The 25224-nt window shown below is 45.0% G+C and overlaps 1 pseudogene, besides 1 other annotated feature; it reads left to right on the top strand.

Moving 5' to 3' along the window:
• RPL3P7 (ribosomal protein L3 pseudogene 7) lies at positions 10733 to 12025 on the top strand (annotated as a pseudogene).
• Positions 12910 to 13419: an enhancer, noted in NCBI's record as "NANOG hESC enhancer chr6:108324112-108324621 (GRCh37/hg19 assembly coordinates)". NCBI's record gives its function as "activates a minimal SCP1, AML or CMV promoter by ChIP-STARR-seq in naive and primed H9 embryonic stem cells {active_cell/tissue: H9 hESC(naive and primed)}" and the evidence as "EXISTENCE:reporter gene assay evidence [ECO:0000049][PMID:30033119]".

Raw genomic sequence — 25224 nt, 5'->3', positions numbered from 1 at the left:
CCCAAAATGCTGATAGCGATATGGACAATAAAATCCAGGCTAAAGTGGTCTCAGATGGAGATGAGGAACTTGTTGGGAACTGGAGCAAAGGTGACTCTTGTTGTGTTTTAACAGAGAGACTGGTAGCATTTTGCCCCTGTCCTAGAGATTTGTGGAACTTTGAACCTGAGAGAGATGATTTATGATATCTGGTGGAAGAAATTTCTAAGCAGCAAAGCACTCAAGAAGTGACTTGGGTACTGTTAAAGGCACTCAGTTTTAAAAGGGAAATAGAGCATAAAGGTTCAGAAAATGTGCGGCCTGACTATGTGATAGAAAATAAAAACCCATTTTCTGGGGAGAAATTCAAACTGGCTGCAGAAATTTGCATCAGTAGCAAGGAGCCTAATTTTAATCCCCAAGACCGTAGGGAAAATGTCTCCAGCTCATGTTAGAGACCTTCATGGCAGCCCCTCTCATCACAGGCCCAGAGGCACAGGAGGAAAAAGCGGTTTTGTGGGCCGGGACCAGGGTCCCCATGCTGTGTGGAGCCTAGGGAGTTGGTGCCCTGTGTCCCAGCCACTCCAGCTGTGGCTGAAAGGGGCCAACATATAGCTCAGGCTGTGGCTTCAGAGGGTAGAAGCCCCAAACCTTGGTAGCTTCCACATGGTGTTGAGCCTGCTGTGCACAGAAGTCAAGAATTGAGGTTTGGGGACCTCTGCCTAGATTTCAGAAGATGTATGGATTTCAGAAGAAGATAGAAGCAAAAGTTTGCTGCAGGGGGCCCTCATGGAAAACCTCTGCTAGGGCAGTGTGAAAGGGAAATGTGGGGTTGGAGTTTCCACACAGAGTCCCTAGTGGGGTGCTGCCTAGTGGAGCTGTGAGAAGAGGGCCACTGTCCTCCAGATCCCAGAATGGTAGATCCACCAACAGCTTGCACCATGCACCTGGAAAAGGTGCAGACACTCAACACCACCCCATGAAAGCAGCCAGGAGGGGGCCTGTACCCTGCAAAACCACTGGGGTGGGGATGCCCAAGACCATGATAACCCACCTCTTACATCAGCATCACCTGGATATGAGACCTGGAGTCAAAGGAGATCATTTTGGAGCTTTAAAATTTGACTGCCCCGCTGTATTTTGGACTTACACAAGCCCTGTAACCTCCTTGTTTTGGCCAATTTCTCTCATTTGGAATGGGTATATTTACCCAATACCTGTACCTCCATTGTATCTAGAAAGTAACTAGCTCGCTTTTGATTTTACAGACTCATAGACAGAAGGGACTTGCCTTGTCTCAGATAAGACTTTGGACTGTGGACTTTTGGATTAATGCTGAAATTAGTTAAGACTTTGGGGACTATTGGGAAGGCATGGTTGGTTTTGAAATGTGAGGACATGAAATTTGGAGGGGCCAGGGGTGGAATGATATGGTTTGGCTGTGTCCCCACCAAATCTCAACTTGAATTGTATTTCCCAGAATTCCCATGTGTTGTGGGAGGGACCCGCAGGGAGGTAATTGAATCATGGGGGCTGGTCTTTCCCATGTTATTCTTGTGATAGTGAATAAGTCTCACGAGATCTGATGGGTTTATCAGGGGTTTCTGCTTTTGCTTCTTCCTCATTTTTCTCTTGCCGCCACCATGTAAGAAGTGCCTTTCACCTCTTGCCATGATTCTAAGGCCTCCCTGGCCATGTGGAATTGTAAGTCCATAAACCTCTTTTTCTTCCCAGTTTGGGTATGTCTTTATCAGCAGCATGAAAACAGACTAATACAAATATCAAAGAGATTACTCTTGAAAAACTGTTCCCAGGGAGGCATGCTTCCCATTCAGTCCTTAAGAATAGGTTGAAAACACAGGGCCTTGTTCATTAGGATAGACAAAAACTGACTTAAAAGTAATAGCTTATAGTATAATTTGAGAGCAACGAATTTTTTTTTTACTTGTGCAGTTGATGAGTAATTTTTCATCACTTGGATGAAGAACAGGTTTACATTTGTCATGGTCCAGGTTGCCCTTTTGGTACCCTGCAGAAGAAACAGAGTGTGCACACACAGAAAGTAACCACCGAACATTTTGTGAGAGAACCCTGAGAATCTTGTGGTCAGCCTGAACCTTTCACTTTGTTTAGCCTGCTTGGCCCTTGTGAACTGACACTGCCTGCTTCTCCCAGGCTCGTGTCTTAATGCTCTCCCCTCACTCCACGCTCCAGCCAGCTGTCTTCCACTCTGTTCCTTGCATTCCGCCCACTGTTCACTGCTTCAAGGCCTGGACCTTTCCCTTCTCTCTCTGACTGCCTCCTTCTCCTCCAGTGGAAGCTTTCTGAGGCACTCTATCTGCAGGAGGCTCCACCTTTATCCACTCAGTCTCCAGCTCATCAACCTATTTGTCTCCCTTATAGCACCTACCATGACCTGAAATCATTGAGTTTATTTTTTTATTGATGCATAATATTTGTACATATGTATGAAGTACATGTGATATTTTGTTACGTACATAGAATGTGTAATGATCAAGTCAGAGTATTTATCCATTGCCTAAAGCATTTATCATTTCTATGTGTCAGGAATATTTCAAGTCTCTCTTACAGCTATCTTAAAATATACAATATGTTGTTGCTAACTATAGTCACCCTATTCTGCTATTGAACATTTAAGAAAGTATTCCTACTTATACCGGTATGTTTGTACCCATTAACCAACCTCTCTTCATCCCCCTGACCCACCCACACATCCTTCCAGTCTCTAATAACCACCATACATTCTCTGCCACCATGAGATCAACTTTTTTAGCTTCCAAATATGAGTGAGAACATGTGGTATATGTCTTTATGTGACTGGCTATTTCACTTAACATAATGAACTCCAGGGAACATCATTCTTTGTTATGGCTGAAGAGTACTCCATTGTGTATATATACCACATTTTATCCATTCATCCATTGGTGGACATTTAGGTTGATTCTATATCTCGGCTATTGTGAATAGTGCTGTAATTAACATGAGTGTGCAAGCATCCCTTGGATATACTAATTTCCTTTTCTTTGGGTAGATACCCAGCAGTGGGATTGTTGGATCATATTGTAGTTCTAGTTTTAGTTTTTTGAGAAATCTTCATATTGTTTTCCATAATGGCTGCACTAATTATCTTTTTTTATAATTTTTTTAAATTTTATTTTTGTTGGTACATAGTAGGTGCATATATTTATGGAGTACATGACATGTTTTGATACAGGCATGCAACGGGAAATAAGCACATCATGGAGAATGGGGTCTCCATCCCCTCAAGCATTTATCCTTTGAGTTATAAACAATCCAATGACACTATTTAAGTTTTTTAAAATGTACTTTTAAGTTATTATTAGGCGAGGCGCAGTGGCTCACACCTGTAATCCCAGCACTGTGGGAGGCTGAGGTGGGTGGATCACCTGAGCCCACAAGTCCAAGACCAGCCCGTGCAAAATGGTGAAACCCCATCTCTACTAAAAAAAAAAAAAAAAAAAATTCAAAAAATTAGCGAGGTGTAGTGGCGCACACCTGTAGTCCCAGCTACTCAGGAGGCTGAGGTGAGAGGATCACCTGAGCCCACAAGTCCAAGACCAGCCCGTGCAAAATGGTGAAACCCCATCTCTACTAAAAAAAAAAAAAATACAAAAAATTAGCGAGGTGTAGTGGCGCACACCTGTAGTCCCAGCTACTCAGGAGGCTGAGGTGAGAGGATCACCTGAGTCCTGGAGGCAGAGGTTGCAGTGAGCCAAGATCATGCTACTCCACTTCAGCCTGGGCAAGAGAGTTAGACCCTGTCTCAAAAAAAAAAAAGTTATTATTGACCATAGTCACCCTGTTGTACTATCAAACAGTAGGTCTTATTCGTTCTTTCTAATTTTTTTTGTACCCAATAACCATCCCCACCTTCCCCTTAGCCCCTTGGCTATACTAATTTTTGTTCCCACCAACAGTGTATGGGAGTTTTCTTTTCTCTGCATCCTTGCCAGAATCTGGTTTTTTGTTTGTTTTTTATCTTTCTAACAATAGCCAGTCTAGGCCTGGCACATTGGCTTATGCCTGTAATCCCAGCACTTTGGGAGGCCAAGGCAGGTGGATTTCTTGAGCCCAGACCAGCCTGGGCAACACGGTGAAACCCCGTCTCTACCAAAAATACAAAAATTAGCCAGTCTCATAACCTAGTCTAAAAAATAAATAAATAAACAACAGCCAGTCTAGCTGGGTAGGATGATATCTCACTGTGGTTTTGGTATGCATTTCCCTGATGCTTAGTGATGTTGAAGCTCCATAAGCATTTGCTTGTCTGGTTCACCATACGTATTCCCAGCATCTCAGATAGCACCTGACATGTTGGAGATGCTTGATAAATACTTGTTGAATATATGAATGAACAAAGACTGGGTGTGGTGGCTCACACCTGTAATCCCAGCACTTTGAGAGACCAAGGCAGGAGGATCACTTAAGGCCAGGAATTCAAGACCAACCTGGGCAACATAATGACCCTGTCTCTACACAAAAATAAGAATAAAAATAAAATAAAACAAGCTCGAGGTTTGTGGATGTTGTTCAAATAGCAATGGGTTGTACAATTATGATGTTGACTGGATTCGGAATTGTCTGCCAGGAATGAAGCTCCCAAGAACATCAGTGTGGGCAGTAAGACACATATAGACTCAATCATCCCAAGGCAATTGGTTCTAATAGCAATTCTTCCTAAACTGGGGCTGCACTCTGACAGTTCCTTATAGTGTTTCTCATCATCTTGAAAGGTGGCACATCGGCTGGGTGCAGTGGCTCATGTCTGTAATTCTAGCACTTTAGGAGGCTGAGGCAGGAGGATTGCTTGAGCCCAGGAGTTCAAGACCAGCCTGGGCAACATAGAGGGACCCCTGTCTCTACAAAAAAAAAAAAAAAATTAGTCAGGCATGGTGGTGCACACCTGTAGTCCCAGCTACTTGGGATTCTGAGGTGGGAGGATCTCTTGAGCTTCTGCACTCCAGCCTCGGCAACATGGTCTCAAAATAATAATAATAATAAAATAAAAATTAAATTAAAAACTAAAAAAACAAAGGTGGCATGTCATTAGGGTTGTTTCACACATCACTCTAAATTCTTCAATGAGAATGCCCATACAGTATTGGGAACTGTGATGTGCCTATTGATGCTAAGTCCTGAAGTTGATGAGATGAATAAGTCACCATTCTTTTCTTTAAGAATCTCATGGCCAGGTGTGGTGGTTCACGCCTGTAATCCCAGCACTTTGGGAGGCCGAGGTGGGTGGATCACCTGAGGTCGGGAGTTCGAGACCAGCCTGACCAACATGGAGAAACTCTGTCTCTACTAAAAATACAAAAAATTAGCTGGGCCTGGTGGTGCATGCCTGTAATCCCAGCTACTTGGGAGGCTGAGGTAGGAGAATCCCTTGAACCCAGGAGGTGGAGGTTGTGGTGAGCCAAGATTGTGCCATTGCACTCCAGCCTGGGCAACAAGCGCAAAACTCTGCCTCAAATAAAAAAAAAAAAAAAAGAATCTCATAATTTAGGGCTGGGCGCGGTGGCTCATACCCGTAATCCCAGCACTTTGGGAGGCTGAGGCAGGCGGATCACCTGAGGTCAGGAGTTGGAAACCAGCCTGGCCAACATAGTGAAAACCCGTCTCTACTAAAAATACAAAAATTAGCCAGGTGTGGTGGTGGGTGCCTGTAATCCAAGCTACTCAGGAGGCTGAGGCAGGAGAAGTGCTTGAACCCAGGAGGCGAAAGTTTCAGTGAGCTGAGATCACACCACTACACTCTAGCCTGGGCAGAGCGAGACTCTCAAAAAAATAAAAATAAAAAATAAAAAATAGAATCCCATAATCTAGTAAGGGAAGACATGAGGTGCTTTACTTTTTGCAAATTGCCTGGAACACAGGCTTTTTATTAGCACATGAAGCAGTAACAGCAGTGTTGTTCTGCACCATATGATGTTGAAATGGTTGCTGAATCCTTCAGCATTAAAAGCTAGGACACTTTGGGTACCACTAAAGTGTCCAGTGTTTCAAAATGAATAATGGTAGTGATAAAAACTACCCATTGCTGAGCTCCTGCTATGGGCATTTTTTATATTGGTTTTCTCTCAAAGTATTTCTGATTATGTTATACTCACTTTTACATATGATGAAACAGAGACTCAGAAAAGCTTAGAAACTTGTCCAAGCTCACACAACTGGTAAGTGTAAGCCATGAGTCATATCCAGGTGTTTCTAATGACTGAGACCATGTTCTTTGCATGACACCACAGGCTCTTGTTTCAAACATCTCAGGTCCCACTTCCTCAGTTCTTCACCTACAATGGATCTCTTCCCAACTTCCCTTCTCTACTCTAGTCAGAGAACATCTTATACACATCAGGTAAAAACTGTGTAGATGCATGCAGGCTTCTTTACAACAGAACATCCCATGGCACATTGTGTTGATAGGACCATTATATAAAGTTGTAGGAGCTATAAGAATACAGAGAAGACATAGTGATATGGTTTGGCTCTGTGTCCTGACCCAAATCTCACCTTAAATTGTAATAATCCCCATGTGTCAAGGTGAGGACCAGGTGGAGATAATTCAATCACGGGGGCAGTATCCCCCATGCTGTTCTCATGATAGTGAGTTCTCATGGAATCTGATAGTTTCATAAGAGGCTTCCCCCTTGACTTGGACTCATTCTCTCTCCTGCTGCTCTGGGAAGAGGTACCTTCCTAATTGTAAGATTCCTGAGACTTCCCCAGCCATGTGAAACTGAGTCAATGAAACCTCCTTTCTTTATAAATTACCCAGTCTCAGGTATTTCTTCATAGCAGCATGAGAATGGACTAATACAGTAAATTGGTACCAGGAGTGGGGTGCTGCCTTAAGGGTACCTAAAATATGGAAGCAACTTTGGAACTGAGTAACAGGCAGAGGTTGGAAAAGTTTGGATGGCTCGGAAGAAAACAGGAAAATGTGGGAAAGTTTCAAACTTCCTAGAGACTTGTTTAATGGTTTTGACCAAAGTGCTGATAGTGATATGGACAATGAAGTCCAGGCTGAGGTGGTCTCAGATGGTGATGAGAAACTTGTTGGGAACTGGCATAAAGGTGACTTTTGCTATGCTTTAGCAAAGAGACTGGTGGAATTTTGCCCCTGCCCCTAGAGATCTGTGGAACTTTGAACTTGAGAGAGATGATTTAGGGTATCTGGTGGAAGAAATTTCTAAGCAGCAAACCATCCAAAATGAAGCAGTGCAAAAAGTTTGGAAAATTTTCAGCCTGATGATGCAATAGAAAAGAAAAATCCACTGGGTGCGGTGGCTCACGCCTGTAATCCCAGCACTTTGGGAGGCCAAGGCAGATGGATCAGGAGATCAGGAGATCGAGACCATCCTGGCTAACATGGTGAAACCCTGTTTCTACTGAAAATACAAAAAATTACCCAGGCATGGTGGTGGGCATCTGTAGTCCCAGCTACTCGGGAGGCTGAGGCAGGAGAATGTCATGAACCCAGGAGGCAGAGCTTGCAGTGAGCTGAGATCACGCCACGGCACTCCAGCCTGGGCATCAGAGTGAGACTCCATCTCAAAAAAAAAAAAAAAAAGCAAAGAAAAATCCATTTTCTGGGAAGAAATTCAAACTGGCTACAGAAATTTATATAAGTAACGAGAAGCCAAATACTAATCACCAAAACAATGGGAAAAATGTCTCCAGGGCATGTCAGAGACCTTAACAGCAGCCCCTCCCATCACAGGTCCAGAGGCCTAGGAGGGAAAAATGGTTTCATGGGCCAGGCCTAGGCCCCCCTGCTCTATGCAGCCTCAGAACATGGTGCCCTGTGCCCTAGATGCCTCAGCTGCAGCTGTGGCTAAAAGGGGCCAAGGTATAACTTGGGCCATTTCTTCAGAGGGTGCAAGCCCCAAGCCTTGGTGGCTTACATGTGGTGTTGGGCCTGCAGGTACACAGAAGTCAAGAATTGAAGTTAGAGAACCTCTGCCTAGATTTCAGAGGATGTATGGAAATGCCTGGATATTGCTGCAGGGGCAGAGCCCTCGTGGAGAACGTCTGCTAGGCCAGTGTGGAAGGGAAATGGGGGTTGGAGCCCCCACAGAGTCCCCACTGGGGCACTGCCTAGTTGAGCTGTGTAAAGAGGGCCACCATCCTCCAGACCGCTGAATGGTAGATCCAACAACAACTGTGTGCCTGGAAAAGCTGCAGACACTCAACACCAGCCATGAAAGCAGCTGGGAGAGGGGATGTACCCTGCAAAGCCAGAGATGCAGAGATACCCAAGGCCATGGGAGCCCACCTCTTGCATCAGCATGACCTGGATGTGAGACATGGAGTCAAAGGTGATTATTTTCTAACTTTAATGTTTAATGACTGCCCTATTGGATTTTGGACTTGCATGGGGCCTGTAGCCCCTTTGTTTTGGCCAATTTCTCCCATTTGAAATGGGTGTATTTAGCCAATGCCAATACCCCCATTATATCAAGGAAGTAACAAACTTTTGATTTTACAGGCTCATAGGCAGAAGGGACTTGTCTTGTCTGAGATGAGACTTTGGACTTGGACTTTTGGGTTAATGCTAGAATGTGTTAAGAATTTGGGGAACTGTTGGAAGGGCATGATTGTGTTTTGAAATGTTAGGACATGAGATTTGAAAGGGGCCAGGGCAGAATGATATGGTTTGGCTATGTGTCCCAACCCAAATTTCATCTTGAATTGTAATAATCCCTACATGTCACGGGTAGGACCAGGTGGAGATAATTGAATCATGGGGGGCAGTTTTCCCCTTGCTGTTCTTGTGAAGTGAGTGAGTTCTCAGGAGATCTCATGGTTTCATAAGGGGCATCCCCCTTCACTCGGACTCATTCTCTCTCCTGCCGCCCTGTAAAGAGGTGCCTTCTGCCATGATTGTAAGTTTCCTGAGACCACCCAAGCCATACTGAACTGTGAGTCAGTTAAACCTCTTTTTTTTTTTTTAATATGAATTACCCAGTCTTGGGTATTTCTTAATAGTGTTACAGGAAAGGGGTCCCAATCCAGACCCCAAGAGAGGGTTCTTGGATCTCACGCAAGAAAGAATTTAGGGTGAGTCCGCATTGCACAGCAAAAGCAAGTTTATTAGGAAAGTAAAGTGGTGAAAGAACAGCTACTCCACAGACAGAGTAGGGCATTCCTATAAATAGGAGGAGGAATGCATCCACGTACAATGCTTTTGCGTGTGTGTGTGTGTGTGTGTGTGTGTGTGTGTGTGTGTGTGTGTATAAAATTTAAAAAGATCATGCACCAGGCGGTGGCTCACACCTGTAACCCCAGCACTTTGGGAGGCCAAGGCAGGTAGATCACTCGAGGTCAGGAATTCAAGACCAGCCTGGCCAACATGGCAAAACCCCGTCTCTACTAAAAATACAAAAATTAGCCAGGCGTGGTGGCATGAGCCTGTAGTCCCAGCTACTTGGGTGTCTGAGGCACAAGAATTCCCTGATTCTTGTGCAGAGGTTGCAGTGAGCTGAGATCACAATACAGCACTCCACCCTGAGCAACAGAGCAAGATCCTGTCTCAAAACAACAACCACCACCACCACCAAGAAAAAAGATCATGGGGAGATGTGCTCTGCTACAAGAGTTTGTGATAAAGGATTAATTTTCTTAATTACTGTACTTTGCAAGAATGTTATCTTTTTCATGCCTATAATCCTAGCACTTTGGGAGGCCAAGGCAGCTCACGAGGAGATGGAGACAATCCTGGCTAACACGGTGAAACCCAATCTCTACTAAAAAAATATACAAAAACATTAGCCAGACATGGTGGCGGGCGCCTGTAGTACCAGCTACTCGGGAAGCTGAGGCAGGAGAAAGGCGTGAACCCGGGAAGCGGAGCTTGCAGTGAGCCAAGATCGCACCACTGCACTCCAGCCTGGGCGACAGAGCAAGACTCTGTCTCAAAAAAAAATAAACAAAACAACAACAACAACAAAAAAACTCCCTCTCAAAAAAAAAAAAAAAGAATATTATCTTTAAAACAAAATTAGGAATGTCTTTGTTCTCCAGATATCGGGATATTAGAACATTCCCAAGTCTGGTTCTGTTTAGTAAACATTATCAATCTGTTTCATTAACTGTAAACATCTAGAGGCTAGGAATACCTTTCTGGGAATGCAGCACAGCAAGTCCCAGCTTCATTTTCCTGGCCCTCACTCAAGATAGAGTCGCTCTGGTTAGAACACCTCTGACAACAGCAGTGTGAGAATGGACTAATATATATGGGAAAAAATAACACTAAACCATTAAATACAGATGTGACTGACACAGACCCTTGATGAACTCAGCTGCTGCTTCCTCGTTTATAACTACAGAGCCCTTTTGGGTGACACCATTTCTCCTCCAGGTCTGTCCAGGTTTCTGTCATCTCTTGCCTTACCATAGATATTTTCAGTCCTTAATGGTCACCTACAAAATATTCATTGATGTGGCCAGGTGCGGTGGCTCACACCTGTAATCCCAGCACTTTGGGAGGCCAAGGTGGGCGGATCACGAAGTCAGGAGATCAAGACCATCCTGGCAGTGGCGGGCGCCTGTAGTCCCAGCTACTCGGGAGGCTGAGGCAGGAGAATGGCGTGAACCTGGGAGGCAAAGCTTGCAGTGAACCGAGATTGCACCACTGCACTCCAGCCTGGGCTACAGAGTGAGACTCCATCTCAAAAAAAAAAAAAAAAATCATTGATGAAAAGTGGCTGTGCTCTACCGGCGGGATTTGACTGCGTGATGTCTCACAGAAAGTTTTCTGCTCCCAGACATGGGTCCCTCGGCTTCCTGCCTCAGAAGCGCAGCAGCAGGCATCGTGGGAAGGTGAAGAGCTTCCCTAAGGATGATCCGTCCAAGCCGGTCCACCTCACAGCCTTCCTGGGATACAAAGCTGGCATGACCCACATCATGAGGGAAGTCGACAGCCCAGCATCCAAGGTGAACAAGAAGCAGGTGGTGGAGGCTGTGACCATTGTGGAGACGCCACCCATGGTGGTTGTGGGCATTGTGGGCTATGTGGAAACCCCTTGAGGCCTCCGGACCTTCAAGACTGTCTTCGCTGAGCACATCAGTAATGAATGCAAGAGGCGTTTCTATAAGAACTGGCATAAATCTAAAAAGAAGGCCTTTACGAAGTACTGCAAGAAATGGCAGGATGAGGATGTCAAGAAGCAGCTGGAGAAGGACTTCAGCAGCATGAAGAAATACTGCCACGTCATCCGCGTCATTGCCCACACCCAGATGCGCCTGCTTCCTCTGCGCCAGAAGAAGGCCCACCTGATGGAGATCCAGGTGAACGGAGGCACCGTGGCTGAGAAGCTGGACTGGGTCTGCGAGAGGCTCGAGCAGCAGGTAAATGTGAACCAAGTGTTTGGGCAGGATGAGATGATCGACGTCATTGGGGTGACCAAGGGCAAAGGCTACAAAGGGGTCACCAGTCGTTGGCACACCAAGAAGCTGCCCTGCAAGACCCACCGAGGCCTGTGCAAGGTGGCCTGTATTGGGGCATGGCATCCTGCTCGTGTGGCCTTCTCTGTGGCACGTGCTGGGGAGAAAGGCTACCGTCACCGCACTGAGATCAACAAGAAGATCTATAAGATTGGCCAGGGCTACCTTATCAAGGATGGCAAGCTGATCAAGAACAATGCCTCCACTGACTCTGACCTGTCTGACAAGAGCACCAATCCTCTGGGTGGCTTTGTCCACTATGGTGAAGTGACCAATGACCTTGTCATGCTGAAAGGCTGTGTGGTGGGAACCAAGAAGCGGGTGCTCACCCTCCACGAGTCCTTGCTGGTGCAGATGAAACGGCAGGCTCTGGAGAAGATTGACCTTAAGTTCATTGACACCACCTCCAAGTTTGGCCATGGCTGCTTCCAGACCATGGAGCAGAAGAAAGCATTCATGGGACCACTCAAGAAAGACGGAATTGCAAAGGAAGAAGGAGCTTAATGCCAGGAACAGATTTCGCAGCTGGTGTGGTCTCAATAAAAGTTATTTTCCACTGGGAAAAAAAAAGAAAAGTGGCTGTGTCTTCCAAGCGATGTGACTCCACAATACATGGGCAGCAGTGAACATTGGTTTTCCCGTGGCGCCAGACTCTTCCTCTGCCTCAGGGAAGCAGCTCTGCTTGAAGCCCCTGTGGATATGGTTTCCATGATTTTTCTTCCAGATATCACTACTTGGAAAATTGTGGTTTTATTCCTACTCATTAAGTCTTATAAACATTATGATTTGACATGTCACATTCCCCAGTGAATTTCCGCTTTGTAAACTCTGGGCTGTTTAGTCAGTTGCAGAAACTAGGTAGGGAGGCTGGGGGTGGCAGGAATGTAGACTATCACCCCCTGTCCCTGTCCCTTCCCACACAGACAATCCAGCCAATGGCAGAAGACTGCCGGAAATGTAGAAGAGTTAAGGTAGAAAAACTTTGGAAAATAATTATTTGTCTGCTGAGGTAATAAAATTAAGGTTCCGTAAAGCCACTTTTTTGGAGTATTAGGCAAATATCTTTCGACCTCTTGAATTTGAAATGGTTTTGTAGGTGCATGTGACCATTGACTTCAAAACAAAGGCTTTTGGAGGAGACAGGTCTATTAGCTGTGCTCTCCTCTAAATATGTTTTAGGCTGGGCGCAGTGGTTCACGCCTGTAATCCTGGCACTTTGGGAGGCCGAGGCAGGTGGATCACTTGAGGTCAGGAGTTCGAGACCAGCCTTGCCAACATGGTGAAACCCCGTCTCTACTAAAAATACAAAAATTGGCTAGATTTGGTGGTGGGTGCCTGTAATCCCAGCTACTCAGGAGGCTGAGGCAGAGGAATTGCTTGAATCCGGGAGGCGGAGGTTGCAGTGGGCTGAGATCGTGCCACTGCACTCCAGCCTGGGTGACAGAGCGAGACTCCATCTCAAAATAAATAAATAAAATAAAATAAATATGTTTTCAAAGAAGGCATATGACCATAGTGGGAAGGAGAGGGATGAGAAACCAGGGAAACAGTCGAAGAGAAAAAGAGGGGGAGAGGGGAAGGACAGGAGGTAAGGAGAGTCAGAAACAAAAGACATACAGGGTTTAAGTGTCCCGCTTCCGTTTCCTTTTCACTAGCACAAAAGCCTGTGGATTTCAAATTCATCTGAGCTGTTCTTGGGAGATGGTTGTGGCCCGAGGCAAGGGCTGACTCGCAGAGGACAGCTTGGCAGTGACAGAGGCAGAAGTCAGACAGAAAGGCTCTGACTGACATGTGAGCAGCGGGGTGATGTCAACAACAGCTGACCCGTCATGAGACCTTAGGAAGAAAACCAATGGGAATCTTGTTTTGGAGCGTCTAGTGCCCAGCTAGCTCCCTACTAGGTGCTTGCAAACAGATTGACTAGCATAATAGAGTGATTTTGTAATCTGTCATAATACCATAAGCCACAGATCCACAGACTTTGACCCCTCACAGGTATAATAAGCGCCTTTATTCAGCTGCACATGATCTCCCTATGGGGAAGGAGGGAGGGGGCCCTTCTTCTAATTACACAACCTAAGCATATGTTTTGCTGGAGAACAAAGCATTATATTCATTAGCAACAATCTTGTAAGCCAGGTTCCTTTTACTAGCCAGTTAACTAATTGACAGTTAAGAATGTGTATTAATAATAGACTGCAGCCAGGCATGGCTTAATCTGACAGTTTTATTAAAAATGTAGGCAAGTTCCTCAAGCCGGTATGACTGTCAGCTTTTATGTAGGAATCCTGCTTACCAAGGATCTCAACTTGCTATAAAACAATATCACCCTGGCAGAAAATTGTTCTCCCAGGTCAAAGTCCGGGAGTCAGCAGAGTTATTCACTTGGAGGATTTTTGTTGTTCTTCCCTTTGTGACGCATCTGAACAAGGAAGTGATTTTGCTGTGTTTTCTTAAAATCTTATTGACATGGTTCACTTGTTCTGGACCAAATTATTCTGGTGGTGAATGATCCTAATTCTTCCTTGCTGCTTTTCTGTGTACCTTGTCCTCTTTTTAAAATTTTATTTTGTTTTATGGGGTATGGAAATAATTATTTCTCAAATCACTAGCAACTCCATTGAAAGTTCTGCGAGAGATGGTAGAGAGGTTGAAATTCAAAATCTGTCCTGCCACACACTGTTCTTTCCAGTCTTTGCCTTTGAAATTCTTCCAGTACCTAACTTAGATACGCCCTAGCCTATGGCGTCTTGTTGAATTTCCCCCATGTTGGAAATTGAGCGTTTTCTGCCCCCCATTCTCCCAGCACATGCACCAAACTTCTCTCCAGCTCCCTACTCACCTGACCTAACACCCCGCTTGGGACATGGTCTGTCCTTTTATCCCTTTTTCCCATGATCCCTTGCCCTTAGCAAATATGCAGCAAATATGTGCTGGGTTAAAGTGAATGTACTCTTTATTACTAACTCTAATCTCAGTAGTCAGTCTGTAAAACACCTTTGATCTCTGTTGGTTTGTAAATGTCTCTGGAATCTAGCCTTTCTCTGTGGCAGGGCCTTTATCACCTCTTGTCCCCTGCTTCAGCTCAGCCTCCTTGAGAGGGATCTTTCTGAGACATAAATATGGTGACGAGGCCGGGTGCAGTGGCTCATGCCTGTTATCCCAGCACTTTGGGAGGCCGAGGCGGGTGGATCACCTGAAGTCAGGAGTTCAAATCCAGCCTGGCCAACATGGTGAAACCCTGTCTCTACTAAAAATACAAAAATTAGCCAGGCTTGGTAGTGTGCACCTGTAGTCCCAGCTGCTGAGGCACAAGAATCGCTTGAACCCAGGAGGTGGAGATTGCAGTGAGATAAGATCACACCACTGCACTCCAGCCTGGGAGACCCAGCAAGACCCTGTCTCAAAAAAAAAAAAAAATCACCCAGGCTACTGGGTTGGGTTGAGTTGACTGCTGGGGAGGGGCAGGTAACGACAGAAGTGAGGTGAGCTGTTCAGAGGCTATTGTAGCAACTCAGTGGAGAGGGGACCATCACCTGGATTAAGGCGGGTCTTGCAGGATATTGTTTGAAGGTAGAGCAAACAGAACTTGCTATCGGAATGGATGTAAGGGGAAGGATTAATCGAGAGTGATGAGAGTGACTGCAAGTTTTAAAATATTATTTATTGATTTTGAGCAACAAGAAGGACAGCTTAATATGAGTCCTATGGGCTTTTCATCCTAGGACTCAATTTGGCTCACCTTTCCAGTGTGGTCACCTGCCCCTCCCTTTCTACACCCATGCTCCATTCATACCTAGCTCCTCCATGGTCCACACTCAGATTCTTTTATTTATTTAATTATTTTTTAATTTTTTTGAGATGGAGTCTTGCTCTGTCTCCCAGGCTGGAGTGCAGTGGTGCAATCTCGGCTCACTGCAAGCTCCGCCTCCCGGGTTCACGCCATTCTCCTGCCTCAGCCTCCCAAGTAGCTGGGACTACAGGCGCCCGCCACCACGCCCGGCTAATTTTTGTATTTTTAGTAGAGACGGGGTTTCACCGTGTTAGCCAGGATGGTCTCGATCTCCTGACCTTGTGATCCGCCCACCTCGGCCTCCCAAAGTGCTGGGATTACAGGTGTGAGCCACCGCGCCCAGCCTCTTTTATTTATTTATTTAAGAGACAGGGTCTTGCTCTGTTACCCAGCCTGGAGTGCTGTGTCAAGATCATGGCTCACTGCAGCCTTGAACTCCTAGACTCAAGCCATCTTCCTGCCTCAGCCTCCTGAATAGCTGAGACTACAGGCATGTGCCACTGCTCCCAGCTCACACTCATATTCTTCCATGTGCCTGGGTCTTTGCTTATAATCATCCCTCCTTCTGAATGACCAAAGTGTGGTTTTTTGTCCCTCAGGAAAACTCCTATTCCTACTTCAAGACTTTTTTTTGTTTTTTGAGATGGAGTTCCACTCTTGTTGCCCAGACTGGAATGCAACGGCGTGATCTCAGCTCACTGCAACCTCCGCCTCCCGGGCTCAAGTGATTCTCATGCCTCAGCCTCCTGAGTAGCTGAGATTACAGGCATGCACCACCATGCCGGGCTAATTTTGTATTTTTAGAGGAGGTGGGGTTTCACCATGTTGGTCAGGCTGGTTTTGAACTCCTTACCTCAGGGTATCCACCTGTCTCAGCCTCCCAAAGTGCTGGGATTACAGGCATGAGCCATCATGCCCGGCCTCCTCCTTCAAGACTTCTAAAATGACACTTCCTCTGTGAGGTCTGCTTTTTGTTACACACACACACACACACACACACACACACACACACACACCCCAGAGCACATGCATCCACATACACCTCTCTTTCCCATGGCCCTTTATAATGCCTCTCTTGCACTTCATTCTCCTGTTTGTGTAAGGGCCATGCATCTGGGGCCTCCTTGAGAAAGCTTGCCTCCTGAGGGTGGGATTTGACCTTATTTAACACTCTAACCCGACCACAATTAGGAAAAAGGTGGGGTTTGTTAAGTGTTTACTGAATCAATGAATGGATAGGAATCAAGGAGGGATGTGCCTCTCCCTCTAAATCCTATCCCACCCCTGACAAAATTTTGGTTTATCCCCTGCTCACATCATAAGAACTCATGCTGCCTGGCATGGGATGTGACAAAGGGGCTTGAATGAAAACTAACACTTACTTGGTTTGGAAAGTCAGGAATATAACTTTACTTGCACCTCATATGCATTTGAAAACATCAAATGGGCTGGATGAAGTAGCTCATGCCTGTAATCCCAGCACTTTGGGAGCCTAAAGTGGGAGGATCATTTGAGCCTGGGAGGTCAAGGCTGTAGTGAGCTGAGGTCATGCCACTGCATTCTATCCTGGGCAACAGGGCAAGACACTGCCTAAAACTAACAAAAAACAAACAAACAAACCAAAAACAATAAAAACATCAAATAGATTGAAGGCTGCTTTGGCTATCCCCCAAATCAGGCTGTATTGTGGGGAAAGGCAGCCTCCAATTTCACTATCAGGAAAGAGTTCTCAGAGGTCAGGGAACAGAAGGGTTCACAGATGAAATGTATATTGCTCAAAGTGGAGATGATTGAACCTACTTAAAACACACAACAGAAAGCAAGGAGGATGTAGATGGAATAGGTTAACACTCTTAGGAGAGGGAGCAAGCAGGTCTGAGGGAAGATGACCTTTCTCTGCCAATGGTGTGGTTGGAAGGAGCAGAGTTGAAATTGGGGAGGGGTCAGCAGAAAGTGCCTGGATGCCCTCCCTCCCCTATGCTTACTCTATTAGAAAGATCCACAGCAAGTAAGCCTGCCAGAGCTATAGCTTGCCAGTTAGCCTGCTGAACACTTACAGGTTTTATATGCATTTCTGGGGCAAAGCATATGTAGGGCCCTAGGAGATGATACTGAGATTACTGAAAGGTGGCTGATTTAGGGATGATGTAAGTGTCAGCCTAGAGGCAGCATAACCCATAGACTTTCCATCCCTCTTTTTTTTTTTTTCCAGAGTCTCTCTCTGTCACCCAGGCTGGAGGGCAGTGGTGCGATCTCGGCTCACTGCAACCTCTGCCTTACAGGTTCAAGCAATTCTCGTGCCTCAGGCTCCCGAGTAACTGGAATTACGGGTGCCTGCCACCATGCCCGGCTAATTTTTGTATTTTTTGTAGAGACAAGGTTTCACCATGTGGGCCAGTCTGGTCTTGAACTCCTTACCTCAGGTGATCCATCTGCCTCGGCCTCCCAAAGTGCTGGGATTACAGGCGTGAGCCACTGCACCTGGCCCCTTTTTGTCTTTAAGACTTTTGTTCTGACCTTTTAAACATATTACTTACTACCTGTATTTAACACATTTTATGAATTGTTTCATAAGCCATTTGCTTGATCACCACCTATACTTAACATATCTTATGAATTTTATTTCTCACAAGCTGCTTAAGTTTGTTTTTATCTATGCTTAACATTTCTTATGAGTATTATGAGCTGAATGTTGGTGTCTCCCCCAACTGAATGTTGATGTCCTTCATATGTTGAAGCTCTAACCCCCAATGTGATGGTATTTAGAGGCAGGGTGTTTGCGAGGTAATCAGGTTTAGATGAGATCGTGAGGGTGAGGCCCCTGTGATAGACTTAGTGTCCTTATAAAAAGAAGAGAGACAACAGCTCTTTTTCTCTACCGTGTGAGGGCACAGCAAGAAGGCAGCCATCTGCAAACCAGGAAGAGGGCCCTCACCAGAAACTGAACCTGCCAGCAGCTTGATCCTGGATTTCCCAGAATCCAGAGGTGTGAGAAACGCCTGCTGTTGAAGCCACTCAAGTCTGTGGTGTTTTGTTATAGCAGCCCAAGCTGACTACGACAATGCATTTCACCCATCCTAGGTGTTTTTCCTTCTTCTGTAGCAGAATTGCATATTCTTAAATAACACAGCAAACGGTACAATGTAGAGTGAAAAAGAGAAGTTCTACAATGCCAGTTTAGGCAGGGTGTGGTGGCTCACACTTGTAATCCCAGCACTTTGGGAGGCCGAGGCAGGCAGATCACTTTAGGTCAGGATTTCAAGAGCAGCCTGGCCAACATGTTGAAACCCCATCTCTACTAAAAATACAAAAATTAGCTGGGCGTGGTGGCGCATGCCTGTAATCCCAGCTACTTGGGAGGCTGAGGCAAGAGAATCACTTGAACCTAGGAGGTGGAGGTTGCAGCGAGCTGAGATCATGCCACTGCACTCCAGCCTCAGTGACAGAGCGAGACTCTGTCTCAAAACAAAACCAAACCAAAAAACAGCTACAATGCCAGTTTAAGTGTGTGTGTGTCTTATTCCAATGTCTAGGGAAGTAATTGCACCCGGCCATTCATGCCTCCCACCACCTACAGAACATTCTCATGATTGGCTTATTGAAGAAAATGTTTAAAGGCAAAAGAAAAATGAAAGTCATAAAAACCTCTGGAATTATTATGTAAACCCATGCTGGCTGGTTAATAATCATACAGTTAATTGGAAATTTTTGTTTCCAGTCTCTTTAGTAACTCCGAATCTTTCTTTTCCTGTTTACTCACTGAAATTCCTAAACTATTTCTAAAATGGTATTGCTCAGCCTAAGGAAAGGAAGTCCAGGGCAGTTATTTTTTATTTTTCAGATTCACTCTGTTATTTTGTATTGTATAATTTGCTCACGAGAGAACACACCCATTTTAAGTGTGCAATGCAGAGGATTTTAACAAATGTTTGCATCTGTAAAAACACCACGACAATCAAGACACAGAGTAGGCCAAGTGCAGTGGCTCACAATTGCAATCCCAGCACGTTGGGAGGCTGAGGTGGGAGGATCACTCAAGCATAGGAGCTCGAGACCAGCCTGAACAATATAGGGAGACACTGTCTCCACAAAAATATTTAAAAATTAGTTGGGCATGGTGGTACACTCCTGTAGCCCCAGCTACTCAGGACACTTAGGTGGGAGGATTGCTTGAGCCTGGGAGGTTGAGAGCAGATTCGGCAGCATAGTGAGACCCTGTCTCCACTTAAAAAAAAACAAAAACAAAAATAAAGCTGAGCATGGTGGCTCACGCCCGTAATGCCTATAATCCCAGCACTTTGGGAGGCCGAGATGGGAGAATTGCTTGAGCCCAGGAGTTTGAGACCAGCACTGGGCCACATATGAGACCTTGTCTCTACAAAAAAAAAAAAATGTTTTTTAAATAGCTGGGTGTGGTGGCATGTGCCTGTGGTCCCAGCTACCTGGGAGGCTGAGGTGGGAGGATTGCTTGGGCACAGGAAGCCGAGGCTGCTGTAATCCTTGATCAAACCACTGCACTTTAGCCTGGGTGACAGACCGAGACCCTGTCTAAAAAAAAAACAAAAAACAAAAAACTAGAGCATTTCCATCATGTCCCCAAATTTCTTCATTTCCCAACAGCAATTTGATACAAGAGGAATAGACTCTAAAGTGTCCATTTTAAAAGGATTTGCTTCCTTAAATCCAACTCATGCCTCTGTGGGCAAATTAAAATGACTTTATAGTACATCACTTAATAGTTTCTTTCCAATAGGTCATGTGTAATGTCTACTCAACATATAAGTTTAGTTATAACTGTCATTTAGGAGCCTCAGCCTTGCCTTCTGCCCTCATCTTGAGAGATGGCCCAACCACCTTTCCAAAGTCACTTCCCACTTCTGAACCCTCAGCCATGACTGTACTTTAAATGCACCATATTCAATAGTCAACACAATGCAACATCTGTGCATTTGCTCACGTGAAGTCCTAGCCTGGAAAGCTCTTCCTCTAGGGGCCAGTTCAATCCCTGCCTCTCTGAGAAGGCTTTTTCATCCAACTCAAACTTTTAGAGATCCCCCTGTCTCCAGAACATATGTGTTATACACTGCCTGGCACACATTGTTAGCATCGTCAGATTAGTGTCTCACGTGTGTCTCTCTCCTCCACAACTGGACTGTAAACTCCACAGGGGCAGGAACCTCCCATCGCCCCAGCAGTGTCCAGGGCCCAGTGAATAGTCGCTGAACGGCTGAACCCATGAGACTTTCCCTGGAAGAATATGTTATGTTCGAATAGGTCCCAAGTCACTTCATCACTCACAACGGGTAACTGGATGTAGATCTCAATTCTGCTTACAAAATTAAGTCTGCAGAACAAAGGCTAAGTTTCTTTCTTTCTCTTTCTTTCTTTTCTTTTCTTTTTTCTTTTAAAACAGGGCCTTACGTTGTCACTCAGGCTGGAGGGCAGTGGCTCCATCTCAGCACACTGCAGCCTCAACCTCCTGGGTTCAAGCAATCTAGCTGGGACTACAGGTGTGTGCCATCAAGCCTGGCTAATTTTTGTATTTTTTTTTTGTAGAGACAGGGTTCGAACCACGTTGCCTAGCCTGGTCTCAAACTCCTGAGCTCAAGCCATCCGCCCACCTTGGCCTCCCAAAGTGCTGGGATTACAGGCATGAGCCACTGAGCCTGGCCAAAGGCAAGTTCTTTGGTCCACTCTACACCTCCTCTCTTCCCCTTCCTTAGGAGATAAACTCTGTTATTAGATTGATATTGATATATACATTTTCAAGATCTTTATGTATATGTATGAGATATATGTGTATATATATACATATACACATACACAGCAAAATGTGGTATTGAAATAAGATCACACTGTACAGGTTGTTTCACACTTCCTTTTTTTATTCAACCATATTTTCCAGAAACAATAGTCCCTGCCTGAAAGCTTGACTCCCAATCCAATCCATCCAATAAATGGAAACTAGGATTCTACAGTATTTCCAAAACACAAATTTTTTTTTCTCTTTTTTTCTTTTTTTAGACAGGGACTCACTCCTGTCGCCCAGGCTGAAGTGCAATGGGATTATCTTGGCTCACTGCAGCCTCCACCTTTCTGGGCTCAAGCAATCCTCCCACCTCAGCCTCCCGAGTAGCTGGGACCACAGGTGGCACTGTGAAGCCTGGCAAATTTTCGTATTTTCAGTAGAGACGAGGATCTCCCTATGTTGCCCAGTGCTGGTCTTGAACTCCTGAGCTCAAGGAATTCTTCCACAGAAAGAAACCTCGGCCTCCCAAAGTGCTATGATTATAGATATGAGGCACTGTGCTCAGCCATTACTCATCTTCTTGTACCCATGCCTAGTAGTCTCTGTAATCCTTAAACATTCAGTTATGAAATGAATGGACTCAGACAGTGCATTTGAAATATTTAACTCTGACTTCAGCTGACCCCCCTCACCATTCTATTCCTGTGTTGTCTCAGTGTGTGTCCTATGCGTTCTACCTCAATGCAGATATCAGAGTCCCTTTGAGCTCCCTGAAGAATATACTCACACCAAAGTATTAGTAAGCAATGCAGATTTTTACTGCCGGAGTGAAAAACAAAAAGTAGTGGTGGGGAGGGAAGGGAGGATTGCAATTTGACAGTATAATTCACTGTTATTTTGTTGCCCAATAAAAGGGTCATACTCTTTCATCCAATGAAAACACTTTTTTTTTTTTTTTTGAGACAGAGTCCTACTCTGTCACCCAGGCTGGAGTGCAGTGGCATGATCCCAGCTCACTGCAATCTCCACCTCTGGGGTTCAAGAAATTCTCCTGCCTCAGCCTCCCAAGTAGCTGGAATTACAGGTGCACCACCATGCCCGGCTAATTTTGTATTTTGTATTTTTTTTTTTTTTGAGACAAGGTCTCGCTCTGTCACCAGGCTGGAAAGCAGTGGTGCATTCTCGGCTCACTGCAACCTCCACGTCTCGGGTTCAAGTGATTCTCTTGCCTCAGCCTCCCGAGTAGCTGGGACTACGAGTGTGCATCACCACGCCCGGCCTAATTTTGTATTTTTAGTAGAGGTGGGCTTTCACCATGTTGGCCAGGCTGATCTTGAACTGCTGACCTCAAGTAATCTGCCTGCCTCAGCCTTCCAAAATGCTGGATTATAGGCTTGAGCCACTGCACCCAGTGAAAACACTTTTTCTGCAACTGAATTCTAGGAGAAATTTACTACAAGAAACCTTATGTAGGGACACTGGTTAAGATTACAGTGTTCTCAGTCTCAGTTCCGAAAATATAGAGAAACATTATTTAGATGGATATTCCTGATATCACCCCTACATAAAAGCCTAGGTAATGATATTCCATTTTAAATTCAGTGAAGACTTTCCAGGGGGAGTAAAGATAATATAGTTTGGATACGTTCTTTTCTGATAATATAGTTTGAATACCTTTTTTTCTGATTATCTAATGACCCAATGTTGATAAATATATTGCATATATGCTGATCCTCTGAGCTGTCACACCTGTGGCAGACATGACTAGTCAATCACGACAGAATTTCCCACTGAGCCCAGACGTCATAGATCTCAACATAGCATCCACCACCAATGATTGAAATTGGCGTATATGATGAAAAGATAAAACCCCTGCCATCGGCCGGGCGAGGGGGCTCACACCAGTAATCCCAGTACTTTGGGAGGCCGAGGCGGGCGGATCACGAGGTCAGGAGATCGAGACCATCCTGGCTAACACCGTCTCTACTAAAAATACAAAAAATGAGCCGGGCATGGTGGTGAGTGCCTATAGTCCCAGCTACTCAGAAGGCTGAGGCAGGAGAATGGCGTGAACGCGGGAGGTGGAGCTTGCATTGAGCAGAGATAGCACCACTGCACTCCAGCCTGGGCAACAGAGTGAGACTCTGTCTCAAAAAAAAAAAAAAAAAAAAAAAAAAAATCAAACAACAAAAAAAAAAACCCTGCCATCCTGGAATATATTGATAGCTTATTTAATGTCTGAGAGGCTTTTGTGTATGGAGAGTAATGCTCACTACTCTTTGGGCTTTGTTCCATGCCAAATTTATTAATTTTATGAATTTGTTAAATTAACGTCTCCTTAAACAATTAACACTCGTAAGTATTCAAACTACTTATAAGAGGAACCAACCCAAACTTAATAGGTTTAAATAAGTTAAATTTCCCTAAACATTTAAACATTTACCAAAATTTATTTAACTAAACTCTTCTAATCATTTAATGAAAATCCCAAGTTCAATCGGAGTCTCTCAAATGCTCTTTAAACACTTTAAAGAGCAGACAACACACACAAAATCTCACAATAATTACAAAACTGCATATTTATACTAAAACTGATTAGAAAAGGCTAGCGGTGAGGATTTAAAGGTTTTCTTTATGCTTTTTTTTTATATTTGTTTTTACAGATGAGGTTTCACTATGTTGCCGAGGCTGGAGTACAGTGGCTGTTCACAGGCTTGATTATAACACACTGCAGACTCAACCTCCTGGCCTCAGGGAGTCCTCCAGCCTCAGCCTCTTGAGTAGCTGGGACTACAGGCACTTGGCTCTTTATGCTTATCTAATCTAATTTTTATATCTCCCGAGACTTACATTTTTGCGTGTATATAGTGAATGCTGTGGTGTGCCATTTAGATCCTTCTGCAGGACTAAGGCACTCATTCCCTCAGGGGCCAAACAGCTCATAACTGAGCCCCTCCCAGAGCAGGGTCTCTCTGCCAATGAAAGCTCCAAGATTATGCCTCCTGGTGGGTGGGGGTGGGGGAATGTTACATTCAATGACTTGTCCATAAGAGAGAACAAAGGCCTGGCCCCTTGGCAGCAAGTTGAGACATCTCTGAAGGGCCACCCCAGATTCACAGCAATCTGCAAGGTTGGCTGAGACTTTTGTAGTGATTGCATTGCAGTTTACCTTCCCCCACCACCGAATCCTGCTTTCCTTACCACCCATCATAGATGGTGAACCCCAAGAGCACTTCCCAATAAATCTCCTGCATACAATCTCAGAATCTCAGAGGTTGTCTCCCGGGGAACCTGAGCTATGACAGTGAGGTTGTAGAAATATTACTATATGTAGCATATGGTGAATATTCTATTCACACTTCTCAGGGTTGCACTAATTTTACCAGCACTGACTGGGCGTGGTGGCTCATGCCTGTAATCCCAGTACTTTGGGAGGCCGAGGCGGGTGGATCACTTGAGATCAGGAGTTCCAGACCAGCCTGACCAACATGGTGAAACCCCGTATCTACTAAAAATATAAAAATTAGCTGGGCGTGGTGTTGGCTGCCTGTAATTCCAGCTACTCAGGAGGCTGAGGCAGGAGAATCGCTTGAACCTAGGAGGAAGAGGTTGCAGTGAGCCGAGATCACACCATTGCACTCCAGCCTGGGTGACAAAAGTGAAACTCCATCTCAAAAAAAATAATGATTTTACCAGCACTAAAAGGAATAAAGAAGAAAAAGCAAAACAAAAAGATCTTGTTGCGGGACAATCAAAGATGGGAGACACCGAACAGCGTGAGTTCAGGAAAGGTCTTTATTAAAAGGTGATCACCTGGCTCAGTAGGACTAGCATCCAGTAAAGTCTGAGCCCCGGACAAAGAAAGCAGCCACCTTTTAAGCAGTCAGTGGTCAGGAGCTACGTGATGCAGGAAGTGTACTTACAGAAGCGAGAATTAAGGCAGTTGATCAGTCTTTTACATTTATCTATACTACATGTTCCACATCCTTGGGAAACCATGTTTCTGTATCAACCTTGTAACTTTGCAGCTGGGCTAGGAAGCTGAAGCAGGAACTCGCTGAGCCTCAAGGAATGTGAAACTAGCAAGTACAGGCAAGGCTCACTGAGCACAGAAGGAAAAACAGGCAGTTAGTATTCTTCTCTAACTTAGACTACAGGGGCACTACACTACATTTAGCTTTTGAGAGAAAAAGTAAAAATTTTTGGTTGTCTTTGA

The sequence above is a fragment of the Homo sapiens genome, chromosome 6, assembly GCF_000001405.40.
Source record: "Homo sapiens chromosome 6, GRCh38.p14 Primary Assembly".
Taxonomy (NCBI): Eukaryota; Metazoa; Chordata; class Mammalia; order Primates; family Hominidae; genus Homo; species Homo sapiens.
This window is presented reverse-complemented; position numbering and strand designations above follow the sequence as displayed.